At 45.0% G+C, this 24,717-nt stretch overlaps 1 protein-coding gene across 1 annotated transcript in view, besides 2 other annotated features; it reads right to left on the reverse strand.

Moving 5' to 3' along the window:
• The window catches only part of ABTB2 (ankyrin repeat and BTB domain containing 2), a 207,024-nt gene that overhangs the window by 132,122 nt on the left and 50,185 nt on the right, over window positions 1–24,717 (reverse strand). The gene's annotated exons all lie outside the window — the stretch shown is intronic.
• Window positions 1,409–1,909: an enhancer, noted in NCBI's record as "H3K4me1 hESC enhancer chr11:34306064-34306564 (GRCh37/hg19 assembly coordinates)". NCBI's record gives its function as "activates a minimal SCP1, AML or CMV promoter by ChIP-STARR-seq in naive H9 embryonic stem cells {active_cell/tissue: H9 hESC(naive)}" and the evidence as "EXISTENCE:reporter gene assay evidence [ECO:0000049][PMID:30033119]".
• Window positions 1,910–2,410: an enhancer, noted in NCBI's record as "H3K4me1 hESC enhancer chr11:34306565-34307065 (GRCh37/hg19 assembly coordinates)". NCBI's record gives its function as "activates a minimal SCP1, AML or CMV promoter by ChIP-STARR-seq in naive H9 embryonic stem cells {active_cell/tissue: H9 hESC(naive)}" and the evidence as "EXISTENCE:reporter gene assay evidence [ECO:0000049][PMID:30033119]".

Here is a 24,717-nt window from a genome sequence, read left to right on the forward strand (position 1 = left end):
GGGGTTTCACAGTGTTAGCCAGGACATTCTCGATCTCCTGACCTCGTGATCCGCCTGCCTCGGCCTCCCAAAGTGCTGGGATTACAGGCGTAAGCCACCGTGCCCGGCCATCTTTTTCTTTTTTTGAGATGGAATCTCGCTCTGTAACCCAGGCTGGAGTGCAGTGGCACGACCTCAGCTCACTACAACCTCCACCTCCTGGGTTCAAGTGATTCTCATGTCTCAGCCTCTGGAGTAGCTGGGATTACAGGCACGTGCCACCATGCTCAGCTAATTTTTGTACTTTTAGTAGAGATGGGGTTTCACCATGTTGGCCAGGCTGATCTCGAACTCCTGACCTCAAGTGATCCGCCTACCTTGGCCTCCTAGAATTCTGGGATTATAGGTGTGAGCCACCACACCCAGCCTGTAAAAAAGTCTTGATTAAAGAAGTAGCATATATCCATTTAGCAAGTATCAAAGTATATATTGAGAAAAAATACCATCTCATAAATCTAAGCTTCAAAGTTCCAAATTTAATCAAAGGCAAATTAGAGCATGGGTCAGGACAGAATATTATAACTAAATGCCAGCCAGCATAGAGGGTAGCATCACAAGGTGACCGTTGAGGATACTATTTTTTGTAGGTGGTCTTTCAACTGCAAAATATTTCCCCAAGAATAAGGAGACACAGCTGCCAGGAAACTTAGTCCCAGGGGCCACATTTGGTTCCTTACTCTCAGCAACCAGGCTTCCAACTGGCTTTCTTATCTCCTAATAAGATCCTTTCTAAAGCCAGAAGGAAGAGAGAATGCTTCACTAGCCAGTTTTATGGAAGTAAGTTGCTGAGTTCTCCAGCTTCTTGGTAAATCTAAAGGAGGGCTTCCCTACCTGGATTGATAATGCAGAGCATCTCAAACTGTGCCATGCACATGAATCCCTGGGATCTTGTCCAAACAGGGCTCTGATACAGGAGGTCTATGGTGGGGCTTTTGAGAGTCTGCATTTCTAACGAGCCCCCAGGTAATGCCGATGCTGCTGGTGCAGAGACCTCACTCTGGGCTGTAAGGCCCAATCCATGTCTCAGATAGAAGAACTGGGCTCAGCCCAGGGATGCTCAGCTGAACTGAGACAATGGGCCACGTCACATCATCCTGTAGGGCAGAGATGGCTCAGCTTTGGGAAACCTTTAGCTTCTCAGGCCACTGGTGATTAATGAGCAAATGACCCCCGTGTAACCCTAAAGGATTTGGATGATTTAATGTTCTTATCAAAATGGGCCATTTGCCAGAGTGACCAGAAGGATTGGCCCCAATGTCTGAGCTGCCTTACAGAACCTCTTTGTATAACCAGAATCACCCTTGGGTACCTGGAAAAGGCAGGCAGCACCAAAGCTTCTATTCAGAAACAGAACTTTAATCACACTAATAAATCGGCCTGCAAACAGGAATTATTGACTGGCTTCCATGAAAGCTGACGCTGGAAGAAAAGGTGTGAGAGTGGAAGACAGAGGTGAGGAGGTCATACTTAGGGTGAGTTGTTGACGGATGAACAAGAAGCAGGGGATGGGTAACTGTAACCAGAGAGGTGGAGAAAGCGGAGGGCTTAAACACACATAGGAACATTTATAAAATAAATAAATATTTGTAAATAAATTAAAATGATAAGAGATGGACCCAAGTCCAGCACTGCAGCCAGAAATCTGTCAGGAGGCCCTGAACACTGGCAGCAGGCTGTGTGCCTGCACACACCCCACCTGATACCGCCTGGAGCCAGAGGGGTGTTAATGAGGCTGGGTGGAGAGGCAGACCCCATTTTTCATCACTGACACTCAGACTGGCCGTCCTCAGCCCAGGACCCTGGCCAGTCAATCAGCTGCCAGCTCCGCTGTGTGTAAACACCTTCCATCCTCAGTCAGCAAAAGAGGCAGGTGCTGGAGATCTGGTCACGGTCAGTTGGACAATCTGATAAAGCCTTCCTGGGGTCGCTGTGGCCCAAGAACAGCCCTGGCATAATTAGACCAGGCGGAGGGGGGCTGTCAGGCAATCCAGGCGGAAATCACAGGGTCTCTGCCAATCAAAAGGAAACCCAACCGAGGGGACCGGTGGGGAGGGGGACATTTGCTGTACAAGTGGACAGTGGGGGAGGGGAGGTTTCCCCGAGGCTGGATGATGACTCTGGCAGGGCTACGCAGCTCATTATGCAAGCCCCAGAGTTAGGCGGGTGCTATCGATCACTATCGGGGGTCCCTGGGGATTCATCATTATATAGCAGGACCTAGTGCGTGCTTTGCTCTGGCGGTAACCAGAGGAACATGGCAATGCATCCTTGCCAACGGAAAACAGGGTGGCCCTTTTTTCCCCTCTTTTAATTATCTTGCAGGCCTTCTTAACCACAAAGGTGCAGAAATGGACAGTAATAACAAAAACACCTCAAAAGGTTTGTAGTTTACAAGGCCATTCTATACGTGCAATCTTAGGGAGGCCAGGCGAGGGTTCATCCTTAAGATAGCATGGCTGGGAACACAGGGGCCTGCTGCTCTACCCTGGAGCCGTCACACGTGCACAAAATGCTAGATTCACTCAGGGATTTCAGTATTTTTAAGAGCTGGGTAGCGCTCTCCAACCACTCTCCCAGCATGGGCCTCTATGACATCTCAATTGGCTGGGTGCTTCTGACTGCTTTTTGGGAAGAGATGCCCAGGTTACTGAGAGGCAAGCACTTCTTTTACTCCGTTGTTTCTTCTTTTACTAAGCTAAAAGTTCCCCTCCTGCATCTTGTGTCTGTAACTGGGATGGTCTAAACTTGATGGGCAGCCTCTGTCCTGGGCCTACTTGCACCTTGGGAAAGGAGTCTCTTGGTACATTGCCCAAATAAATTCAACTCAATGACCCAATACTATAGTTGGGGAAAACAAAAGAGATTTACATTGCACATTTATAGAAGAAAACATTATAATCGCCTGTAGTCTCAGCTACTTGGGAGGCAGAGGCAGGATGACTGCCTGAGCCCAGGAGTTTGAGGCCAGCCTGGGCAACATAGAAAGACCCTGTCTCAAAAAAAAAAAAATTAGTAAAGAAAAATTTTAGGCTGGATGTGGTGGCTCACACCTGTAATCCCAGCACTTTGGGAGGCAGAGGCAGGAGGATCGTTTGGAGCCAGGAGTTCAAGACGAGCCTGGGCATCACGGTGAGACCCTACTTTATTATTTTTATTATTATTTGAGACGGAGTCTTGCTCTGTTACCCAGGCTGGAGTTCAGTGGCACGATCTCGGCTCACTGCGACCTCTGCCTCCCCAGTTCAAGCGATTCTCCCGCCTCAGCCTCCTGAGTAGCTGGGATTACAGGCACCCGCCACCACACCCAGCTAATGTTTGTATTTTTAGTAGAGATGGGGTTTCACCATGTTGTCCAGGCTGGTCTTGAACTCCTGACCTCAAGTGATCCACCTGCCTTGGCCTCCCAAAGTGCTGGGATTACAGGCATGAGCCACCATGCCCGGCCTCAAAATATTTTAAAAAAGATCCCCCTTTCCATTCCTAGGTTCCTTCGCCAGCACCCTTCTTCCAGCATCCACCTCTAGATCTCCCATTCCTGTTTTTGGTTCTCACCATCCATCACCATTTTCATGCTGTTTCTGCTCTTCTCATCATTCCCAGCAAAACAAAAGCCTTTTAGCTAGGACTCTCAACATGTCTCCCCTTGGAGGCTTAGAAACATATTCACGGACATTATGCTGAGTAAAAGAAACCAGCCTCAAAAGCTTATATACTGCATGACTCCATTTATATGATATTCACACAAGACAGAACTACCACCATGGAGAACAGATTGGTGGTTGCCGGGGCTGGGGGAGGGAAGGGTGTGACTATCAGGCATAGCAGGAGGGAGCTCTGGAGGGATGGAACTGTTCTGCCTCCTCATCATGGTGGTGGTTGCACAAATGAATACATGTGTTAACTCATAGGACTTGGGCTGGGTGCTGTCATGGCTCATGCCTGTAATCCCAGCACTTCGGGAGGCTGAGGTGGGAAGACTGCTTGAGCCCAGGAGTTCAAGACCAGCCTGGGCAACATAGTAAGACCTTGTCTTTATTGAAAAAAAAAAAAAAAAGACTCATAGGACTGTACACACACCCTTAAAAGTCAAATTTACTGTATGATAATTTAAAAAATATACACAGCAAAAGAAGAGATCTCTTGGCTGGGTGTGGTGGCTCATGCCTGTAATCCTAGCACTTTGAGAGGCCAGGAGTTTGAGACCAGCCTGAGACCAGCCCGGCCAACATGGCAAAACCCTGTCTCTACTAAAAATACAAAAATTAATGATGTGCGCCTGTAGTCCCAGCTACTCAGGACTCTGAGGTGGAAGAATCGCTTGAATCTGGGAGGTGGAGGCTGTAGTGAGCTAAGAGCACACCAGCCTGGGTGACAGAGCAAGACTCTGCCAAATAAATAAATAAACAGATCTCCTCTTTATATGGCTGGGGCAATTCTGCAACTATGAATGAGCAGTTGGTTCCAGTCACCAAATAGACCTACTTCTTCAGAAATCTTCCAATTTTTGAAGACAGTTTTCTGCACAACATACAGAGGCTCTCCGCACAAGCTAGGGCTTCCCCAGGTATTACTTGACTTCGAGGGTCCCCTTCTATTTTACCTTGGAGAGGCCTTTCCTGAGCCCTCTCCGTAAGGCAGCTGAACCCTCTCCTCACTCTGTTTCCGTGGTATTTTTTTTCTTTTTTATAGAACATCTCACTATTGCTTGTCTGTCTCCACTCCCCCAGAAAAGTGAAAGGATGCATGTTCCACAGTCAGAGAGCCACCTTGTCCCACCATCGTATCCACATCACTTAGAACATGATGGCCAGAGATGATCAAGACCGAATGAATAAGCCACGAGGAAGAGAGAGCTTGAACACAATGGGGATAATAATGAGGCTGGGGGTGGTATGTTGAATCCCAAATCCATGAAAATTTTCTCTAGCCATTATCTAAATTTTATTTTTCCAGATATTTCAACTCATTTCCCCCAATATTTTATTATTAAAAATTTCAGACATATAGGAAAGTTGAAAGCATTTCTTTTCACATACTCCAGAAAAAAGCCAGTAAGTTGAAAGCTTTTTTACAGTGAACACCTTTATAACCACTATTTAGACTACAGCCTATCATTTACATTTTGCTATACTTGTCTTATCACCTACTTAGCTAGATCTGTTCTTCTATCCATCCTTTTATCCATCTTACTTTTTCTTCACGAATTTCTATTCAATCACCTAAAAACACCCCATTGCATAAACAAAGAAAACAAACAAAAGATAAGGTCACTCTTCAGAGTTATCCTAAGTGCAAGAACAATCAAAGATTTCCAATAGCTGGGTCCCCTAGAAGCCATGTGCCCCTTGCAAGTTTTCTGAGCACTTTAAATCAGGTCTGAAAAAAATTGTAACAGAACAGACAGAGCCCAGAACAGACAGAGTGTGATTCTTCCATTGCCTCATTAGTCTCTTGGTTGTTTTCGGCCCAGGAGGAGGGTAGGGGCGGGAGGGGGTAGTTAGGGAGCTCACAGGCCCACCGGGAGATGACAGTGAAGGATGACCCTCAGCCACGTTTCCAAGGTCACTCTCCTGCAGGCTAGGCCTCTGTGTTGTTGCAGAAATCACTCCTCTCCTGGGTGCACAAGGAAGGTATAGGGGCTGTGACAGAAGATACATGGAAACGCTCTGCTCTATGGCCCTGACACGAAGCATAGCCTTCCTCTGGACGTTCCTGCATCTGGTCATAACATCAGCAGTGACCTTCATAGTCCCTCTGGGTTTATTAATCACATACTCCCAATCCCTACCTCTGCCTTCAAATGGAGACCAACAACATGGCTGTTTTTACTGAGGTCATGTTTGTTAAATGAGAATCTGCTTTTCCAATTCTGGCGTCAGCACTGCCTGAAAAACTGCCTCTGCTCTTGAAGAAAGTGGGTCAATAACATAAATCTATGAACAGTTAAGTTCTGACAGGGGTGGCAAGAGCTAATCTAACAGAATTCTTATGCTTCTAGGTCCAGGAGGACTTGATTGTCAATTCTCAAACATCTGAGTTCTGTAACAACTTACTCAGCTTCCCTTAACATCAAAGTTCCTATTCTATCTTGGTCCATATTTAGAATCTGATGAAGGGTAATAGAGCAGGAAAAAACAAAGTACACATCAACACAGCATTTTGCAATTAATTTCAGGAGTTCGCCATGGCACATCTAGAAAGTCTCTAAGTCCCAACAGCCATGGTTAATGCTAATGTCGTGCTTACTATGCACTGGGCACTGTGCTAAGTGCTTGACCTACATTGTTTTATTTTATCTCATGAAAACTCAATTATCATTATCCCATTCTCAAAGGTAGAAAATGAGGCTTAGAGAGGCCAAGCAATTTGCCTCCTAAAGCTATACTACTTGTAAGCAGCAGAGTTGGAATTTACCCATGCCTGACTCCAGGACCGTAAGGAGGAAACTAATGGCATTTCTCATGAGCCCACAAACCCACTCTGCTCAGGCCATAACTTGAAGCTACCCTGACCCCAAGTCTTCCTTCCCATCCAAATGGCTTCTTCTGGAGTTCAGAGGCAATGCATGAGACACCCTCCGAGGCAGGCTGGACAGAGTGGGTCTTGCCCTCAGCACAAGACCCTCAGACCAGAACAAAGGAGGCCTGGGGACAGGTAACCAAATCCTGAGAGATGATAAAAACACACCCTCTAGGCAACCAGTATCCCAGAAACAACCAGCTCCTGGGACTAATCAGATGTGTGTTGGTTGACCCACACAGCCTTTTTAAGGTTTATATTTGAGTAACTTTTAGGCAAGGCCTGTAACTAACTATAGTCCTCACTCTCCCCAGTTGTCTTCTACAATTTCCAATTATTTCACCTCCAACAGCTTCTTTAAAACAAATTAACATAGATAAATGACCTAGTCCCTGAAGACATTTGAAAGGGATTCCTAAATTGCAGCAAATCAGTTCTATTGGCCTTAGGATGGATTTTGGATGTGGAAAAAAATCATGAGATGAAACCGAAATAATCAAATGGTGAAGTACAGAAGAAACAGAACTACAGCAAGTGTCTTTCTAGATTACATTTGTATCAAAGTAGCTATCTTCCCTTGCACGATCCCATGAATAATTTGCATTTTCAAGACTGTACCTGGACTTAAGGTTTACATTGTGGCCACGGAGCAGAGAAGGCCAAAAGTTTCTTTTGCCAAGATTGTATCTAATTCCTCCCTGACCTCAGCAGTCCATGCCAATCCCAGTAACCCCAGGAAAATACTTGGTAAACTTTAAATGTGTGGTTCTTCTCTGTAATAGGTGATAGTAATCGAAGATAGCAGATTGTTTAAGAAGCTCATTAACCACATATGGCAGATATGAAAATCATCTAGACATCAAGGGCAGGATGCCTTCAAGAAAAACCAGAGTGCCAAGTGCTGTGGCTCACACCTGTAAATCCCAGCACTTCAGGAAGCTGAGGTGGGAGGATTGCCTGAGGCCAGGAGTTCAAGACCAGCCTGGGCAATATAGCAAGATCCTCGTCTCTATAAAAAATGAAAAAAGAAAAACAAAGAAAGAAAGAAAGAAAAACCAGAGGCAGAAACACCATGGAACAAAAGAAGAGTGTGTGCTGCAGAGGAGAGAATCATTTTGTCTTGAACACGGATGGATAAGTGTCTCCAGGAATTCCACAGACAGGCCTAATAGCTAAAATTACCAGCTTAAACTATTTCTCATGTTCATTCTCTGAAGTGCTATAAATGGAAACAGTTATAAATTTTTTTCCCAATAAAGTGTTCACATTCTTCTTTCTGAGACACAAGAGACTAACATTCATTTAAGACCAACTGACGAAAAACAGCATTTTACAGCCACTGTGCAAATCTGAAAGCCTTCATCTGCCAGTGGAAACAGAGCAAGTGGCTCCCAGCCTTCCCAGGCTCCCTGCACATATGGGGGAATGGGGTTTGTCATTATGTGTGAATATCAATGAGCTTCAGATCTAAGTCAATGCCACAGCAATCCCCAAGGAAACTGGCTAAGTATTCATAACAGCCTGATAACTTTGGGAATTAAGAGGACAATAGTCTCTTTTTCTAATTGGATCAGAATCAGCTTTGATGTCTTCATCCCAAGTGGACCAGTTTTTGCTTCCCAGCCAGCCTCTCCCACTGGGATGAAGGGGTCTGTAAGCACATTCCCAATGTGGAGGAGGGAAAGCTGAAGACCCCTCCATCAGCAGAACACATGGGCTGTAAAACTGGCAATTCTAGTTTCCAAGATCACAGAGTAGAACAGAGATGGCACAGTGTTCTTCGGCGTGGGGCACAGGACTGAAAACTATCCTTCTAACTGATAAGTTTATTTTTATTTTTATTTTTTAGATGGAGTTTTGCTCTTGTTGCCCAGGCTGGAGTGCAATGGTGCAGTCTTGGCTCACTGCAACTTCTGCCTCCCGGGTTCAAGCAATTCTCCTGCCTCAGCCTCCCGAGTAACTTGGATTACAGGCGTCTGCCACCATGCCCTGCTAATTTTTGTAGTTTTAGTAGAGTCGGGGTTTCACCATGTTGGCCAGGCTGGTCTCAAACTCCTGACCTCAAGTGATCCACCCACCTCAGCCTCCCAAAGTGTTGGGATTACAGGCGTGAGCCACCACGCCCGGCCTGATATGTTTATTTTTTTAATTTTTAAAAAATTATTTAACATATATGGGCTGCTTTTGGTTGGGCAAAGTGGTCTGTAAAGAAACATCCTTGCTTGTAGCTAATAAGAGGTTTTTTTTTTTGGCTTTTAGAGTGACTTACACCAATAATACAAAGGTATCATTTAAACGAAGGCACTAGGAACCTGAATGCAACTGATTTACACATTTAAAACATAAGCCATATATACTAATTTGCCAAGTTGCGACCCTAGCCCATATATTTTTGAAATCTACCAAATTAGGGAAGGGAGGAGCAAATCTAAATAGACCTTAAGTCAAGCATATAGTGTATTTCATTCTGCTTGAGACACTGGCCTAAGTCCCCTGGATCCAAGGCTAAATTCCTTCTGTTCATCCTATACCCTGCTCCCTCCCCAGTAATGAGGGAAGGAAAAGCCGCAGTGTTCTCTGAGAGGACTGGGAGTGATTTAGCAAAGACTCACTTGGAAACTTCTAAAACAGCTGCAGAAGCTACATGCCTTATGGCACAAAGATGATCTTTCCTACTTTGCAAAGTGTTAAGATGTTGGCCTTGGCCTGAAAACAGCTAGTTTTCCTCGGGTTCTTTTAGTCATGGTCTGTGAAGATGGCAGCCTTCACAGACCATGTGAAGGCTGGCCAGGACCACTGGTCTCTACTGTGGTCCGAATCCAGTCAGTCATCTTACCTTTGCCTACTGGTTTGTCCATGTAACAAATACTTATGAAATACTTCTTATGTGGCAAGGTACTTAGTTGATATGAAACAGACCAAAGTCCTGCCTTAAGGACCTTATATTCTAGTGGGTGGAAGATGGACAATAAGAAAATACAGGTATGGCAGATAGCAGTTGTTGATAGGAAGAAAAGTCAAGCCAGGAAAGCGAACGGAGAGGGACAGGGGAGTGGAGCTCCCTCATAGGGAGGTCAGGGAGGGCTGCCTGGAGGAGGTGGCAATGAAGCAGAGACTTGCACTAAGTCAGGGAGCCTGTGATGGGGCCACTGGGTGAAGGTAACAGCAGGTACAAACCCCCAGAGGGTGGTAATAAAGGAGTCACTGAGGAAGGTAGGGGCCAAATCACAAATGACTTGGTCCACTGTGGAAGGGCCTTGGATTTTATTCTAAGTTTAACAAACCAGTGGCATGGTAAGAGTTGAACTTTTAAAACCTGGCTCTGGTTTTGAGGAGCAAGAGTGGGGTCAAGGAGACAGGTTAGGAGGTCATGGATGCAGTGGAAGAGTGAGGGCTGTGCCTCAGACTAGAGCAACAGCAGTGGAAACAGTGTTTTTTGAGGGCAGAGTTGACAGGCTGGCTCACAGACTGGGTATGGTGTGTGAGAAAGAAGAATCGAGGATAGCTGCTAGGTTTTCAGCAGAGTAACTATAAATCATGCCATTTACTGATGTCGAGGGGGGGCCCAGGGAGAGAAGCAGGGGAGGTGAGACTAGGACTGCAGTTCTGGGCAGGGGACACCTGATGGGACACGAGGAGGCTGGAGGAGAGTTGGGGCTGAGGGCAGCGTCCTGGCTGAGGGCAGCGTCCTGGCTGGTAGTACTTGCGAAGTGACTCTCAGAGCCAGATGGGGTCACCTAGGGAACTGGAGCAGATGAAGAAGAGGCCCCAGGGTGGAGAGGCCCAAGGGTGGGCCTAGAGAGCTCTCTCAACCCTCAGGAGAAGGAATAATTCTCAAAAGGGGCTGAGAAGGAGAAGCCATTGAGGAAAGATGAGAATCAAGGGTGTCATGCCCCAGGCGCCAAGTGCAGGAACTGTTCCGGGAAGGAATAAGTGCCCAGCTGTGTCAAATGCTGCTGAGATACCCTTCCAAGGTGCAGAAAAAAATTTGCACATGTGGACCCACACGCACCTGTGAGAGAGACTGGGGTAAGGGTAAGGGTAAGGAAAACAAGGTAAATTTTTTTTTTTTCCTCAAGATGGAGTCTTCCTCTGTCGCCCAGGCTGGAGTGCAATGGCACAATCTCAGCTCACTGCAACCTCTGCCTCCTGGGTTCAAGCGATTCTCCTGCCTCAGCCTCCCAAGTAGCTGGGACTACAGGTGCATGCCACCATGCCTGGCTAATTTTTTGTATTTTTAATAGAGACAGGGTTTCACTATGTTGGCCAGGCTGGTCGGTAAAATGTTAACACTTGGGAATCTGGGTAAATGAAGTATGAAAATTCTTTGTTCTAGTCTTGCAACATTCTATACATCTGAAAATTATGTCAAAATAAATGTTAAAAGAACAAAATGGTAGGGTACAGTGGCTCAAGGCTTTAAGTGAGGCAAAGGCAGGCAGATCCCTTGAGCCCAGGAGTTAGAGATCAGCCTGGGTAATATGGCAAAACCTCATCTCTACAAAAAATTTAAAAAGTTAGCCAGGAGTGGTGGAGGGCCATAGTCCCACCCACTCAGGAGGCTGAGGTGGGATGGTGGCTTGAGCCTGGGGTCATTGAGGCTGCAGTGAACAGTGATTGTGCCACTGCACTCCAGCTTGGGCAACAGAGCGAGACGCTGTCAAAAAGAAAAGAGAGAGATCAAGAAAGAAGTGACAATGGGCCTTTGAGTCTGACAATACACAACTTGTTGATACCATATGAAGAGTGATTTCAAAGGAGCAGTGGAGATGAGACCTTGATTGTTGCTGATGGGAGAGAATCAGTGGGAAAATGATGGTGCTGACTACGGCCAATGCTTCCCAGGAGTATCGCTATGAGTTAGAAGACGGAAATTGAAAGACAATGTGCATGAGGCCAGGTGAAAAGACTTTTGAAGATGGTTCTTGCCAGGTGTGGTGGTTCATGCCTGTAACCTCAGCACTTTGGGAGGCTAAAGCAGGACGATCCCTTGAGGCCAGTTTGAGACCAGCCTGGGCAACATAGTGAGCCCTCGTGTCTCTACAAAAACAATTTTTTTTTTTTTTTGAGACCGAGTCTCATTCTATCACCCAGGCTGGAATGCAGTGGTGCGATCTCAGCTCATGTAACCTCCACCTCCCGGGTTCAAGTGATTCTCCTGCCTCAGCCTCCTGAGCAGCTGGGATTACAGGTGCCCAAACCATGCCCGGCTATTTTTTTTTAATTTTTAGTAGAGACAGGGTTTCACCATGTTGGCCAGGCTGGTCTCAAACTCCTGACCTCGTGATCCACCCACCTCACCCTCCCAAAGTGTTGGGATTACAGGCATGAGCCACCACGCCGGGCCTCTACAAAAACAATTTAAACATTAGCCAGGCATGGAGGTGCAAGCCTGTAGTCCCAGCTACTTGGGAGGCTGAGATGGGAGAATCACTTGAGCCCAGGAGTTTGAGGCTGTAGTGAATTATGATTGCATCACTGCACTTTCGTCTGGGCAACAGAGCAAGATCCTATCCTTAAAAATTAAAAATAAAAATATTGTTATATAAGATAGCATATTTGTTGCTGATGAGAATGATCCAGCAGAGAGGGGAGAAGTACAGGAGCAATGATCTTACACAGGCTAGAGGTCGTGGGACCCTAACGTACAAGTTGGGGGTTGGCCACAGGCAGGAGGAGGAACGAGTCCCTGCTGGAGGGCTGACAGGGTATATGGAGACAGATGCAGGAAGAGTGCTCTGTTTGGGAAAGGTAATATAAGGAAATTCTTCTGATTGCTTCTGTAATATATTTTCAGTGATATGTAAAACAAAGTCAGTAGTTGAATGTGAAGGGATGGCAGGCTTTTAAGGTTTCAGAGAGGAGAGGTGTGGGAAAATAGAGTGAGCTGGCTAGGGAATGAATGGGATGGTCAGGCTAAGCAGAAAGCTCTCTTATGTGACTGTGACCATGACCATGCCTTAGTCAGCCCAGGCTGCTATAACCAGTGTCCCAGACTGGAGAGTTTATAAACAACAGAAGTTTATTTCTCACCACTCTGGAGGCTGAAAGTCTGAGATCAGGGTGCCAGCATGGCTGGGTTCTGGTGAGGGCCCTCTTCTGGGTTGCAGACTGCCAACATCTCACTGTGTCCTCACATGGCAGAAAGAGAGCTAAAGAGCTACCTGGGGTCCCTTTTATAAGGGCACTAATCCCATTCATAAGAGCTCCACCCTCATGACCTAATCACTTCCAAAGGTCCTATCTCCAAACACCATCACATTGGGGGTGATATAAGCATTCAGTCCATAACAGGCTAAAAACTGAAAGTGAATTCATAGTTGGGCATGGTGATGTGCACCTGTAGTCCCAGCTACTTAGGAGGCTAAGGCGGGAGTATTGCTGGAACCCAGAAGATCAAGGCAGCAGGAAGCTATGATCATGCCACTGTACTCCAGCCTGGGTGACAGAGCAATACCTTGTCTCTAAAGAAGTAAATAAAAATAAAGTGAATCCAATCAGCATGGTGTGTGCGTATTCTTCAACCACATTGAGCTCCCTTGATGCCAGCAGGGAGAGGGCAGAGTTGGGTTTAACCAGGGTTAGGATTTTCCAGAAAGGGTGAAAGAGGATGAAAGGCAAGGCAGTGTGATGGGGCATAAAATCTAAGGAGGGGAGGGAGACAAGGAGGAGGGTGGGAGAGTTCATGGACAGTGGAAGATCCTACTAGAGTGTTAGGACCAAGAAAATTAAGCTGGAAAGATGGGAATGGTAGTCAGAGAAAAGGAAGTTTAATAAGATAATTTCAGAGATGATGCAGTTACTGGTCATAAGGCCCAAGGTATAACCCTGAGGGCAGGTAGCTGAAGTCAGATAAAGGACAGGACCATTGGAAGTGAGTAGGTCAAGGAATCACAAGGCCAGTGTGCCCTGTGGATGTTGACATTGCCAAGAATGAGGTGGGAGTTGTGCAAAGCAAGGCAGTGAGGCAGAGGCCAGCATCTTCCAGGAAGGGGCAGAGACAGGAATCTCAGAACTGCACACCACTGAAATAAGGAGAGACAGCAGGTGGCATAATCTGAAATGCTGTACGCTTCAAAAAAACTATTTCTTTTAAAGGAGTAAACAGAGAAATGGTCTGGAAATGGCAATAAGGAGGATCCTGACTCATATCTAGACATTGCAGAAATAAATCGCCACAGTTGGAGAAGGCTGTAGGGACAGTGATGTCCTCCAGGCTTCAGTTATGGCAGGATGAAGAAGAAAATGTTTTGGTTTAAAAAGGCCCAACTTCTGCACAGCTCTGACCTGTGACTTGCTCAAAGACCTAGAGAAATTTACCACCTATCCTATTCATGAGTTTTAAGATGACTTTCAACAAGTGAGGCTTTTATTTATACATACAGTGTAGCCAGAAAAGGACTTACCATGCAAAGAAAACACATTTTAAAAGTATTTCACAAGGAAATCTAGATTTAGTCTTGGCACTTTCTGTACGTATTCATTTTATATCCCCACTTCCTAGCCTGGTACCCGGCACACAGTAGGTGTTCCACGGATTTATGAATGATTTGCTTTTCCTTAAAGGTCCCCTGCTTCTCTTTAGTCTTTGTACCTAGAGCTTGCTCTCTCTCTCTCCAGTCTTCTCAACTACATATTTTTTAAGAGGTTAACTTAAAGAATGCCAGCCAAATTCTGGTGAACTGTTTCTAAGGTGCTTTCGCATAGAATATCCGGAAACAAAAACATACCCCTACTGGAGAATTTCCAAGCTGGATATAACCAGACAATCTACCCAATTTTTATCATCTTGCTCAGACTCAGTGCTATGGTTTTAATGTATCCCCTCCAAAATTCAGGTGTTGGCTGGGCGTGGTGACTCACACCTGTAATCCCAGCACTTTGGGAGGCTGAGGTGGGTGGATCACCTGAGGTTAGGAGTTTGACCCTGTCTCTACTAAAAATACAAAATTAGCTGGGCGTAGTGGCGCATGCCTGTAATCCCAGCTACTCAGGAGGCTGAGGCAGAAGAATTGCTTGAACCTGGGAGGTGGAGGTTGCAGTGAGCTGAGATCACGCCATTGCACTCCAGCCTGGGCAACAAGAGTGAAACTCCATCTCAAAAAAAAAAAAAAAAAATAAAAATAAAGGAAAGAAAAAGAAAAAAACAAAATTCAGGTGTTGCCGACGTGATGGTATTAAAAGGTGGGGCCTTTTAAGAGGTGATTACGCCATGAAAGCTCCTCTCTTGTGAAGGGGATTAAGGCCCTTATAAAAGAGGCTTCCCAGGGACATTGGGCTATCCTGACTTTCTGCCTTCTACCATATACAAACACTGTAATTCCCTTCTGGAGGGTGCAGACCTCACTTGACAACTGAACAAGCTGGCACCTTGATCCTGGACTTCCTAGCCTCCTGAAATGTGAGAAATAAATGTCTGTTTTTTTTTTTTTTTAAATAAATTACCCAGTCTCAGGTGTTTTGTTATAACAGCATAAACAGACTAAGACACTCAGAGAAACCAAACTGACTTGCCCAAGATCTCACTTGGTGAGTATGAAATGGAACCAGACCCAGGACTCTTGGCTATCAACTACTCCAATACACACCACAGAATACATATCCACATTTCATTGCCAATTACCAACCAGACTCAATCATTCATGGCATAGCCTTAGCATAAAACTAAGGCCTTAATTTCTAATTTCAAAATGCAAAAAAGTTATAGAAAGAAACCTGGGGTAGGGGTGAGGAATGATCTTGTTTCTTTTTTTTTTTTTAAACCAATTACTTTTTTTCTTTTAAATTTAAAAAAATTAAAAAAAAAATTATTTTGGGACAGAGTCTCGCTCTGTTGCCCAGGCTGGTGTGCAGTGGCATGATCTCGGCTCACTACAAGCTCCACCTCTTGGGTTCAAACGATTCTTGTGCCTCAGCCTTCCCAGTAGCTGGAACTACAGGCGCAGAACACCATGCCCGGCTAATTTTTGTATTTTGGTAGAGATGGGGTTTTGCCATGTTGGCCAGGCTGGTCTCAAACTCCCGGCCTCGAGTGATCTGCCTGCCTCGGCCTCCCAAAGTGCTAGGATTATAGGTGTGAGCAACAGCACCCAGCCTAAACCCATTACTTTTAAAAGTCATTTTATTTGTGATCTTCTCATAAAAAACTGGTGGGCTTGGGGACACAAAAGCAAAAGAGTTCAGTGTTTCCTATGAACAACTGGGCCTGCATAGATGTTTAAATTAATAAAGATCCCTTATCTAATTTCATTCTTGGTACTTCCTCACCCTCTTTCAAATTCCAGCCCTTGAACAGTTTGAATGATTGAAGACACAGCTTAAGGTTGCATAGGAGCTTTTCAGGGACGTCTGCATTAATCCTCTGCTCCATGCAATGTAGAAAACATTAAGTAAAATTGTCTGAAGTTAAAATATGTACTTAATTCCCACTACAGGGAACGGATCTTTTTAGCAGATGTTTTTCTGGAATGGCTGGTGATTGTAAAATAGGAAGAACTAAAAGAATCAAAGTCAAAGTAGGTAAAAAGGATAGACTGGGCAGGGGTTTGGACTGGGGGGCAGGAATGGCATATCAATTAAATTTCCAGACTGTTGCTTATGAAAAATAAGCTGTCTTCGGATCATTTCTAGGACACGGCTATACACGATGGTCATGGACCAAAGAAAATGAAATCCAAATTGATGGTTTTTTTTAAAAAAATAATCATTTAAGCAAGACGTTCCTCTGATGTTTAAGCCAAGATCTCCAAGGGTATCAGGTTCCCTTATTTGGAGGAGCTGCGTGTTTGGAAAGCCACGGTAGTATACTCCTCCCAGAAAACAATGAAGGCAGTTGTTTGCAAAGCCCAAGGAGGCTGCAGGCTGCTGGAGGTGGCAGCTCGGCCCATCCTGCTCCATTAGGAGCCTGCCAGCCCACCACTCCTGATGGGACATTTTAAACCAGCACATGAACCCTCACTGAAACCTTCAGGAGGACGGATTTTTTCATTTGCTAACTGGCTTTTCTTTTCCCAGGCTCAACTGACAGCAACTACTCTCGGGGCCCTCATAGCCAAGGCATTTGGAGTTTGCTCATCTGGGGCTCCCAATCTGCACTCCTCTTACATTAGAAATAAGAGGGCTACAAAGCCAGAAGCAGCGGGTGAGCCGGAAAGGAGCAGAGTGTTGCCTGGGCTGGCAGCCTTGCTCCACCACTTAGCAGCTCTCAGAATGGGTCAGCTACTTCACCTCTTTGTGCTCCAGTTTCATCTCCGTAAAATGGGAATAACACTGCTGCCTCCTTCATAAAGGCACACAGAGGACTGAATGAGTCAAGAATAAAGTAGTTAGCACAGTGCCTGGCACAGAGTCAGAGCTCTCTGCCTCCTACGCTTGGTGGGGGGAAGATGAGGGGTGGGAATACCTTCAAGGTGAGGAAGGGTTCTCTTTTATGGCTCTTAAGAATATATTGTTTTCTTTAGAGGAGCTATTTTACAGCCCGCTGAATCTAACTGCCATGCTAGCTCAGCATGAATACCCTCCATTAAGAATCTTGTCACACCCTTGCTTCACAAGTTGTGGAAACCCAAATCAGACTGCATTCAGCGTTGGGTAGTGGGAGACGTACTGAAGGCCTTTCAATTTCCAAAGCCATGATCAGAATGAAATGTTCTTGCATCAGGCGTTTCACATTTTAGAATTCAATTACAAAACCCTACCATTTAGCTTGTTAGGCTGGCTGCTCCACCCCAGAAAGAGTGACAAAAGACAATCTATAGAGCCAGGCTGCAAGTTCCAGTGCTATAAATCACTGGTTATCGGATGGAGTGGAACTCATTAATATAAACGAGAAGCCTGAAAGGCACCCATTAGCATGTTATTAATTTGTTTGACGATCTACAGCATGGCAAGAGCTAAAATAGTTAGGCTGGGCAATACTACATCTCACACAGAAGAATAATCTGGTCCCATTAATTTTTGTCTTAGGCTTGCCAAATGTAATTGGGCATAATCAGAGCTCATACATCTCATAGCGTTTTCATCTTCTGTTCTTTTAAAAAAAGAAAACTGGGGGGTGGGGGAGGTGCTCGAAGTCTTGGTACGCAATAAAGATAACCAATGAGAAGGGGTTTTAGGTTGGAGCAACCCACTAAGGACTGTAAATGCTTCCCCTTTTGTTTTCCTTCCTTTGCTCTGCATTTTGGATTTGTTTTTCATGAAATGAAAGTGAATCATAAACTACTTTCCAGTTGGGTTAACCTTACTTATACATCCATCCACCCAATTTACTGGGGGGCTGGTGTGGAGGGCAGAGGAGGATCCATCTAGTTCCCGTGGGTAGATATAATTGTCTTTAATCTTTGCCATTAATGAGGAGGCTGGGGGAAGCAGAGGATAAGAAGCTTTATCAACATCTTTGTGGTCTCATGTCTCTCTGTCCGATTGCCAGATATTTCTGTGGCTGGTTAGCCTTCCAGCCCCAAAGCTGTTAGAGAAAATGGAATTTCAGCCTTGAAGGCCTCTGACAGCATCTTGGTCCACCTGGGTCACTTGCAGTTAGGAAGGAAGTCAGAGAAGGGAGCTGCCCACATGCTTCTAAACAGTGCTTCCTTCTTTCCCGTAGTTAGTGTTTTTCAAAGAACATCATCTTGCCATTAAATGAATTTAAAAAAAAATTGTGTTTTCAGGTCCTGGGATAGCAGATAAGGCCCTGTGTACTTGAACTAGATATTTCGAATGATCACTTGACTATAAACAAGATTTTAAAAAAATCTAAATCGATGAATATGTAATTTTCCTGCCAAACAAAAAGCTAGCATAAACAATGAGCTTACATAAATTGGGGCAATCAGATCCACCAACAAAGCATGAAGGCCTAGCCTCAACACTGAAAGAAGAGAATAGATAAATGCTGTTGAATTTTGTTCTCTGAATAACACATTTTAGCATTTCCCTCTGCCTGTGACCCAGAGATGGATCCACCTTTGAGTATTCAAAACTTCAGTTTCCTCTTGCTACGGGAGGCTTAACATAATAAAACATTTAAACATAATATAGGCCAGACGCAGCAGCTCATGCCTGTAATCCCAACACCTTAGGATGCCAAGGCGGGAGGATGGCTTGAGCCCAAGAGTTTGAGACCAGCCTGGGCAATTATTGGATGAAACTACATCTCTACAGAAAATACAAAAATTAGCTGGGTGTGGTGGTGTATGCCTGTGGTCCTAGCTACTTTCCAGCCTAAAGCAAAAGGATCGCTTGTGCCCAGAGGTTTAGGCTGCAGTGAGGCCAAGATGGTGCCACTGCACTCTAGCCTGGGCAACAGAGTGAGACCCTGTGTCAAAAAAAATAAACATCACAAACATAATACATGTCAGGGTATGACATTTGGCAAATATTAGAAAATACATAGAAGATAAAAATCACGTGTGTGTACACCCCCAAGATAATCACTAGGTAACACTTTGGTGTATTTCTACACCTCACGTATGTGTATGCTTTTACAGAACTGGACCACAGTACAGCTACAGTTTCTTGTCTCCACCCTCTTCCCCACCACAACTGGATATTTCATGAGTATTTTCCTATGCTATTACATTTCCTTCAAAGATGTAATGTTTAATGAGGGCTGCATACATTTCACCATATCCAAGTGCTATGATTTATTTAACCATTCTCAGATGATATGTAGACAGGATTTTAATCTTTCCCTAGCATTGCTACTAAAATTAAACTCTTACCTCTTCCTATCTGAAATCCATGACTGGTCAGATTCAAATTCATCAAGGAATACTCTACTTGGGAAACTTGAGAGCAGGAATTCTTGCCCTGAGCCTCTGGTATGAGAAGGCCTGCTCATTCCCCAGACCACAGAGGGGCTCAGGCTGCAGCCAGAAACACTGCCAAGACCTGAAATCAAGGGTTGACCTGGGCCTGCTATTTCTCTCAACAGTTTGTTGGTCATTGAGGCTGTGGCCCTTGAATGAGTCAGTGTTTGTGGCTTTAAAAAATACCTCAAGGGCAGCAAGCAAAAAAAGATGTTCCTGTGATCAGCTAAGGCTAAGGAGCCTCACTCCCTCCAGACCACAACCTCTTTAGCGCTTGCGAGGGGTAGTAGGCTTAGGTGACATAATCAAAGGCCCAGTCAGAAGGGAAGCTGGGGCATTCCTAGCAGTTTAGTTCATTACCCAGATTCACCAGGGGATTGGGAGCTACTCAGGAGTCTGGGGCTGCAAAGTCCCCAGTTATAAATGGGAACCTCTATCTAGGGTAGTTGGTGCTTCACTGGGAGGGCAGCGTTAAGATAAGGACCTGATAAGACACCTCCAGCCCAATTTCCTGGCTCTGGCAGATTGATTCCTGATGGCTTTCCTTCTCAACATTCCTGTCTTCAGGCCTTTGATTTTAGGCAGAGGCCACAGAACACTTTCTCAGGTAGGAACCAAATAGACCACACAATTAGCATCTCCCACTTGCCACGGTGCTGTTGGATTTATGGTACTTAGGAAGATGGCAGTAGTCAGCTCACTTCATTGGTCAAGAGACAGAGCCACAGTAAGGCTAGGAAGAAATATAAAGGTCACTTCCTGTGCTGAGCACTTCCTAGAGCAGCCACAGGCCAGCCCACCAACTACTGGCTGCAATTCTGGACCACTCCATCGCACAGCCTACAAATGTTTTCTAACTGTCTTCCGTTTTTATTAACCAGTCAAGCATGTTTTACTTTACACTCTGATAAGAGGATCAGAAACAGCTTTCCCACATCTAAGGCACTCTTAATCAATTGCAAGGAATACAAGAGCAGCATCACGTAGAGGTTTCCACCCACAGGAGGAAGAAATCCAATTTTTCTTTCTTTAACTGCCAATTCTAATGCACACTTTTTACCCTTTATAGGTTAGCCACACTTTGAATGCATTTAACTTAAATGAAAAAAAATAGTAATAAATGCTTATACAGCTGTCCCCCTATCTACAAAGAACTATGGGTGCTTTTTTTTTTTTTTTTTTTTTTTTGAGACAGAGTCTCGCTCTGTAGGCCAGGCTGGAGTGCAGTGGCGTGATCTCAGCTCACTGCAGCCTCTGTCTCCTGGGATCAAGCAATTTTCCTGCCTCAGCTTCCCGAGTAGTTGGGATTACAGATGTGTGCCTCCTCGCCCAGCTAATTTTTGTATTTTTAGTAGAGACGGGATTTCACCATGTTGGCCAGGCTGGTCTCGAACTTCTGACCTCAGGTAATCCACCCGTCTCGGCCTCCAAAAATGCTGGGATTACAGGTGTAAGCCACCACGCCTGGCCTCAGCTATGGGTACTTTCTCTGGTTTCAGTTACCTGAGGTCAACTATGGTCTGGAAATATTAAATGGGAAATATACAGAAATAAACAATTCCTAAGTTTTAAATCGAGTGCCGCTCTGAGTAGCATGATGAAATATTGCCCAGTCCGGCTCTGTGGTGCTGAGGACGGAATCATCCCTTTGTCCAGCTGGTCCATGCTGTATATGCTATCTGCCCATTGGTGTATAGGAAAAAACATGGTATATCTAGAGCTCAGTCCTATCGCAGTTTCAGGCATCCATCAGAGGTCCAACATATGCTCTGTGGATAAAAGATTATTGTATTCTTTTTGTCTTTATTTTTTCTTTTTATGGAGAACAGGATCTCACTATATTGCCCAGGCAGGCCTTGAACTCCTGAGCTCAAGCTATTCTCCGGCCTCTGCCTCCCTAAGGGCTGGGATTACAGGTGTAAGCCATTGCACCTGGCAGTTATTGTATTAAAGTAATTATGTGCCAATACTGTCACAAGTGCTTCCTACAAATGAATGGATTTAATCTTCCTAATAACCCATGAGGTAAGTATCATTCACATTTCACAGATGAAAACAGACACAGAGGCTAGGCATAGGGGCTCACGCCTGTAATCCAACACTTCAGGAAGCCAAGATAGGTGGATCACTTGAGCCCAGGAGTTTGAGACCAGCCTGGGCAATATGGGGAGACAAACCACATGAGAAAAGAAAGAGAAGACTAGGAGAAGGAGAGGAGGGAAATGGAGGGGAAGGGAGGGGAGGGAAAGAGACTAAGAGGAGTCAAATAGTTTGTCCATGGACATATAGGTAAGAGTGGTGGGGCCAGGATTCAAACTCGGGCAGTCCACTGCAGAGGGCTCTTCACCACCCAAAAGCCACAGAGGCCCTGGCTGACATGGTGTAGGAGTTTTGGCTGCCACTCTCTTCCAAGGGCATAGACCCAGAGTGAATGTGTGTTTCCTCTGCCAGTCTCAGTTCCCAGGTGCCTGTCAGTGTAATTCATGGACCACTCAAAGTGTTTTCAGGAGTTATTTTGGCCACATGCAATTTGTGCTGACATCCAAGCCTAATACCTAAGCAAGGTAATACTCCTCAGAGCAGTGTCTGCTTCTATGTGGACAAGCAGCTTCCACATCAGGGCACACATCTCAGGCTAAAGAAAACATGGGCTCTGAATGAAGACCCCACATAAGTACACTTGATCTAGAAGAGGCTCTTGCATCCCCAGGTTTAAATCAAAACATTAAGCTAGGTCTCCACACTAAACCACCAACACATGCCTGAGAGACCTTGTGCATGCCATATGCTCATTCTTGGCAGTGTTAGTTTCCTAAGTGTGTAAACAGCGATGGTTTTACAGGACAGGCTTGCTCCCGCATGCACACATTCGCTCTGATACCTGGCACACTTCTCTCCTCAAAGAGGAAAATCTTGCAGTTTGAAACATTCACTATGCATGAAGCATCACCAGAGGGGCAGTAACACCACATGGGCCTCCCAACAAACTGAAATAGCCAGTCAACGGGGCGATTATTGAGGTTTCGCCTTCCTAGCAGAAAATCATCTTGCACGTTGTATAAACATTCCACTGGTGGCTTTGGAGCTTGACAGGAAATGTGTGGAGTAAGGGAACCAGAGGCAAAAGATCTGATATCTTAATATATTTCATTCATGATGATTTCCACCTTCAGAGAGACAGGAGAGGACAAGGGAGTAGAATTTTACTTTTTCCTCCCTCTAAACCTTCATTCTGAACATGTTCAAACTTAGAGAAATAGAAAGGATAGTGCAATAAATACTCATATACCCTTTACCTAGACTCACCAATTGTTAACATCTTTTATTTTCTGAACAATTTGAAAGTTGCAAACACATGGCTTCCTCTATCACTATTTCAACATGTATCACCTAAGACAAAAGACATTCTTCTATATCACATTGCCATTCTCAAGAAAGTTAATACTGACACAGTAATGTTATCTAATATCAATCCACATCATTATATTCACTCTTAATATTAAGAGTCAGCAAAACCTCAACTAAATAAAATGATACAATTTGGATTCATTTGTTCGTATAAAAAAATAATTCTAAAACATACCAAAGTCTATTCTCTAAGAACAGGAAGTTAACAGTCACATTCTCTAAGAATACAGTTAGGTATTTACAGGTCTCAGCACCATGACTCTAAACTAATTTTCTCCTTATACAACATTGTAGACCCAACAGGGGAGGACAAAGCTTGAAGCAAATGGCTCCCACTAGCTGCCTGGAAAGTTTGATTTTTTTTTTTTTTTTTTTTTTTTTTTTTGAGACGGAGTCTTCTCTGTCATCTAGGCTGGAGTGCAGTGGCACAATCTCGGCTCACTGCAACCTCTGCTTCCCAGGTTCCAGGGATTCTCCTGCCTCAGCCTCCTGAGTAACTGGGATTACAGGCGTGCACCACCACACCTGGTTAATTTTTGTATTTTTAGTAGAGGTGGGGTTTCACCATGTTGGCCAGGATGGTCTCGAACTCCTGACCTCAGCTGATCTGCCTGCCTCAAGCTCCCAAAGTGCTATGATTACAGGCGTGAGCCACTGCGCCCAGACTGGAAAGCTGTTTTTTAAAAAGACATTCCAAGCTGGATGTGGTGGTGTGTGCCTGTAGTCCCAGCTACTGAGGAGGCTGAGGTGGGAGGATGGCTTGAGCCCAGGAGTGTGAGGCTGCAGTGAGCCATGACTGCACCACTGCACTCCAGCCTGGGTGACACAGTGAGACCCTGTCTCTAAAAAAAAAATAAGTAAAACCGAGAAAAGAAAGATTGGAAGGTACACCACTTTCTTTAGTTATCTTTTCCTTTTTATAGACAAATATTACTTTATAGAATTCTTCAAAGAAGTTATTTGGGAAATTCTGCTGTGTGAAAGTTCTGATGAGTTCAGCACATAGCAGGTACTTAAAGACGCCTCTGGACTGAAGTGAAGCTTGCTTACTAGTTTTCCAGCCATAGCAAGCAATGACAGCTAGCACCATGTCAGGAAACTTAAAAAAAAAAAAAAAAAAAAAAGAAAGAAAAAAAGCAGACGAACTTTAAGAAGACTCAGTAAAGGGCCACTGCGTGTAGGGTACACTTCCCTGCATGTCTCCCTGAATGAATTCGTCTGTTAGATCCTGGTATCCTAAGTCATAAGGACAACCCAAGTCACCTAGGCTCCTGCAGGCCTGTGCTTCTGTGGGTGAGAGCCCTCCATCCTGGTATTGTGAGAACTGTTCAACAGCAACCAATGCTCCTAGTGCTCCCTGAAGGTAACAGGTTGCTAGGTCACAAAAAGGAGGAGTCCAGCACAATTAGGTCACTTCTCTAAAACACCTGTGAGATCAGAACTGAGAAGTGACCAGCCACATTCTCTCAACGAGATCACATGTTTATCCCTACATCTTCCCCCACCTCCTCATATGCATAACCTGTATTACCACTACATCCTAAAATGCTTGGAGAACAGCTCACACCCCCAGCACTGAGCTCTTCAGCAGTCTCCACCATCCAGAATGCAGCCAATGAGCAGGAAATGAAGGAAAGAGTTTGAGCAGTCAACAGAAACGCCATAGACCCTGTTCATGGCTCTCCGAGAGAGGGCACTACAAATTCTTTCCTTTCACACATTTTCCAAAGTGTAATTTCCCTGGGGACACAGATTGTGCTCTCTTGGTCTGATTCTTATGTTAATGGTTTGAGTCTGGCCTCATAGTTAGGTGACTCTCTGTTTTTTTTTTTTTTTGAGACGGAGTCTCGCTCTGTCGCCCAGGCTGGAGTGCAGTGGTGCGATCTCGGCTCACCGCAACCTCCGTCTCCCGGGTTTAAGCGATTCTCCTGCCTCAGCCTCCCAC

The sequence above is a fragment of the Homo sapiens genome, chromosome 11, assembly GCF_000001405.40.
Source record: "Homo sapiens chromosome 11, GRCh38.p14 Primary Assembly".
NCBI lineage: Eukaryota > Metazoa > Chordata > Mammalia > Primates > Hominidae > Homo > Homo sapiens.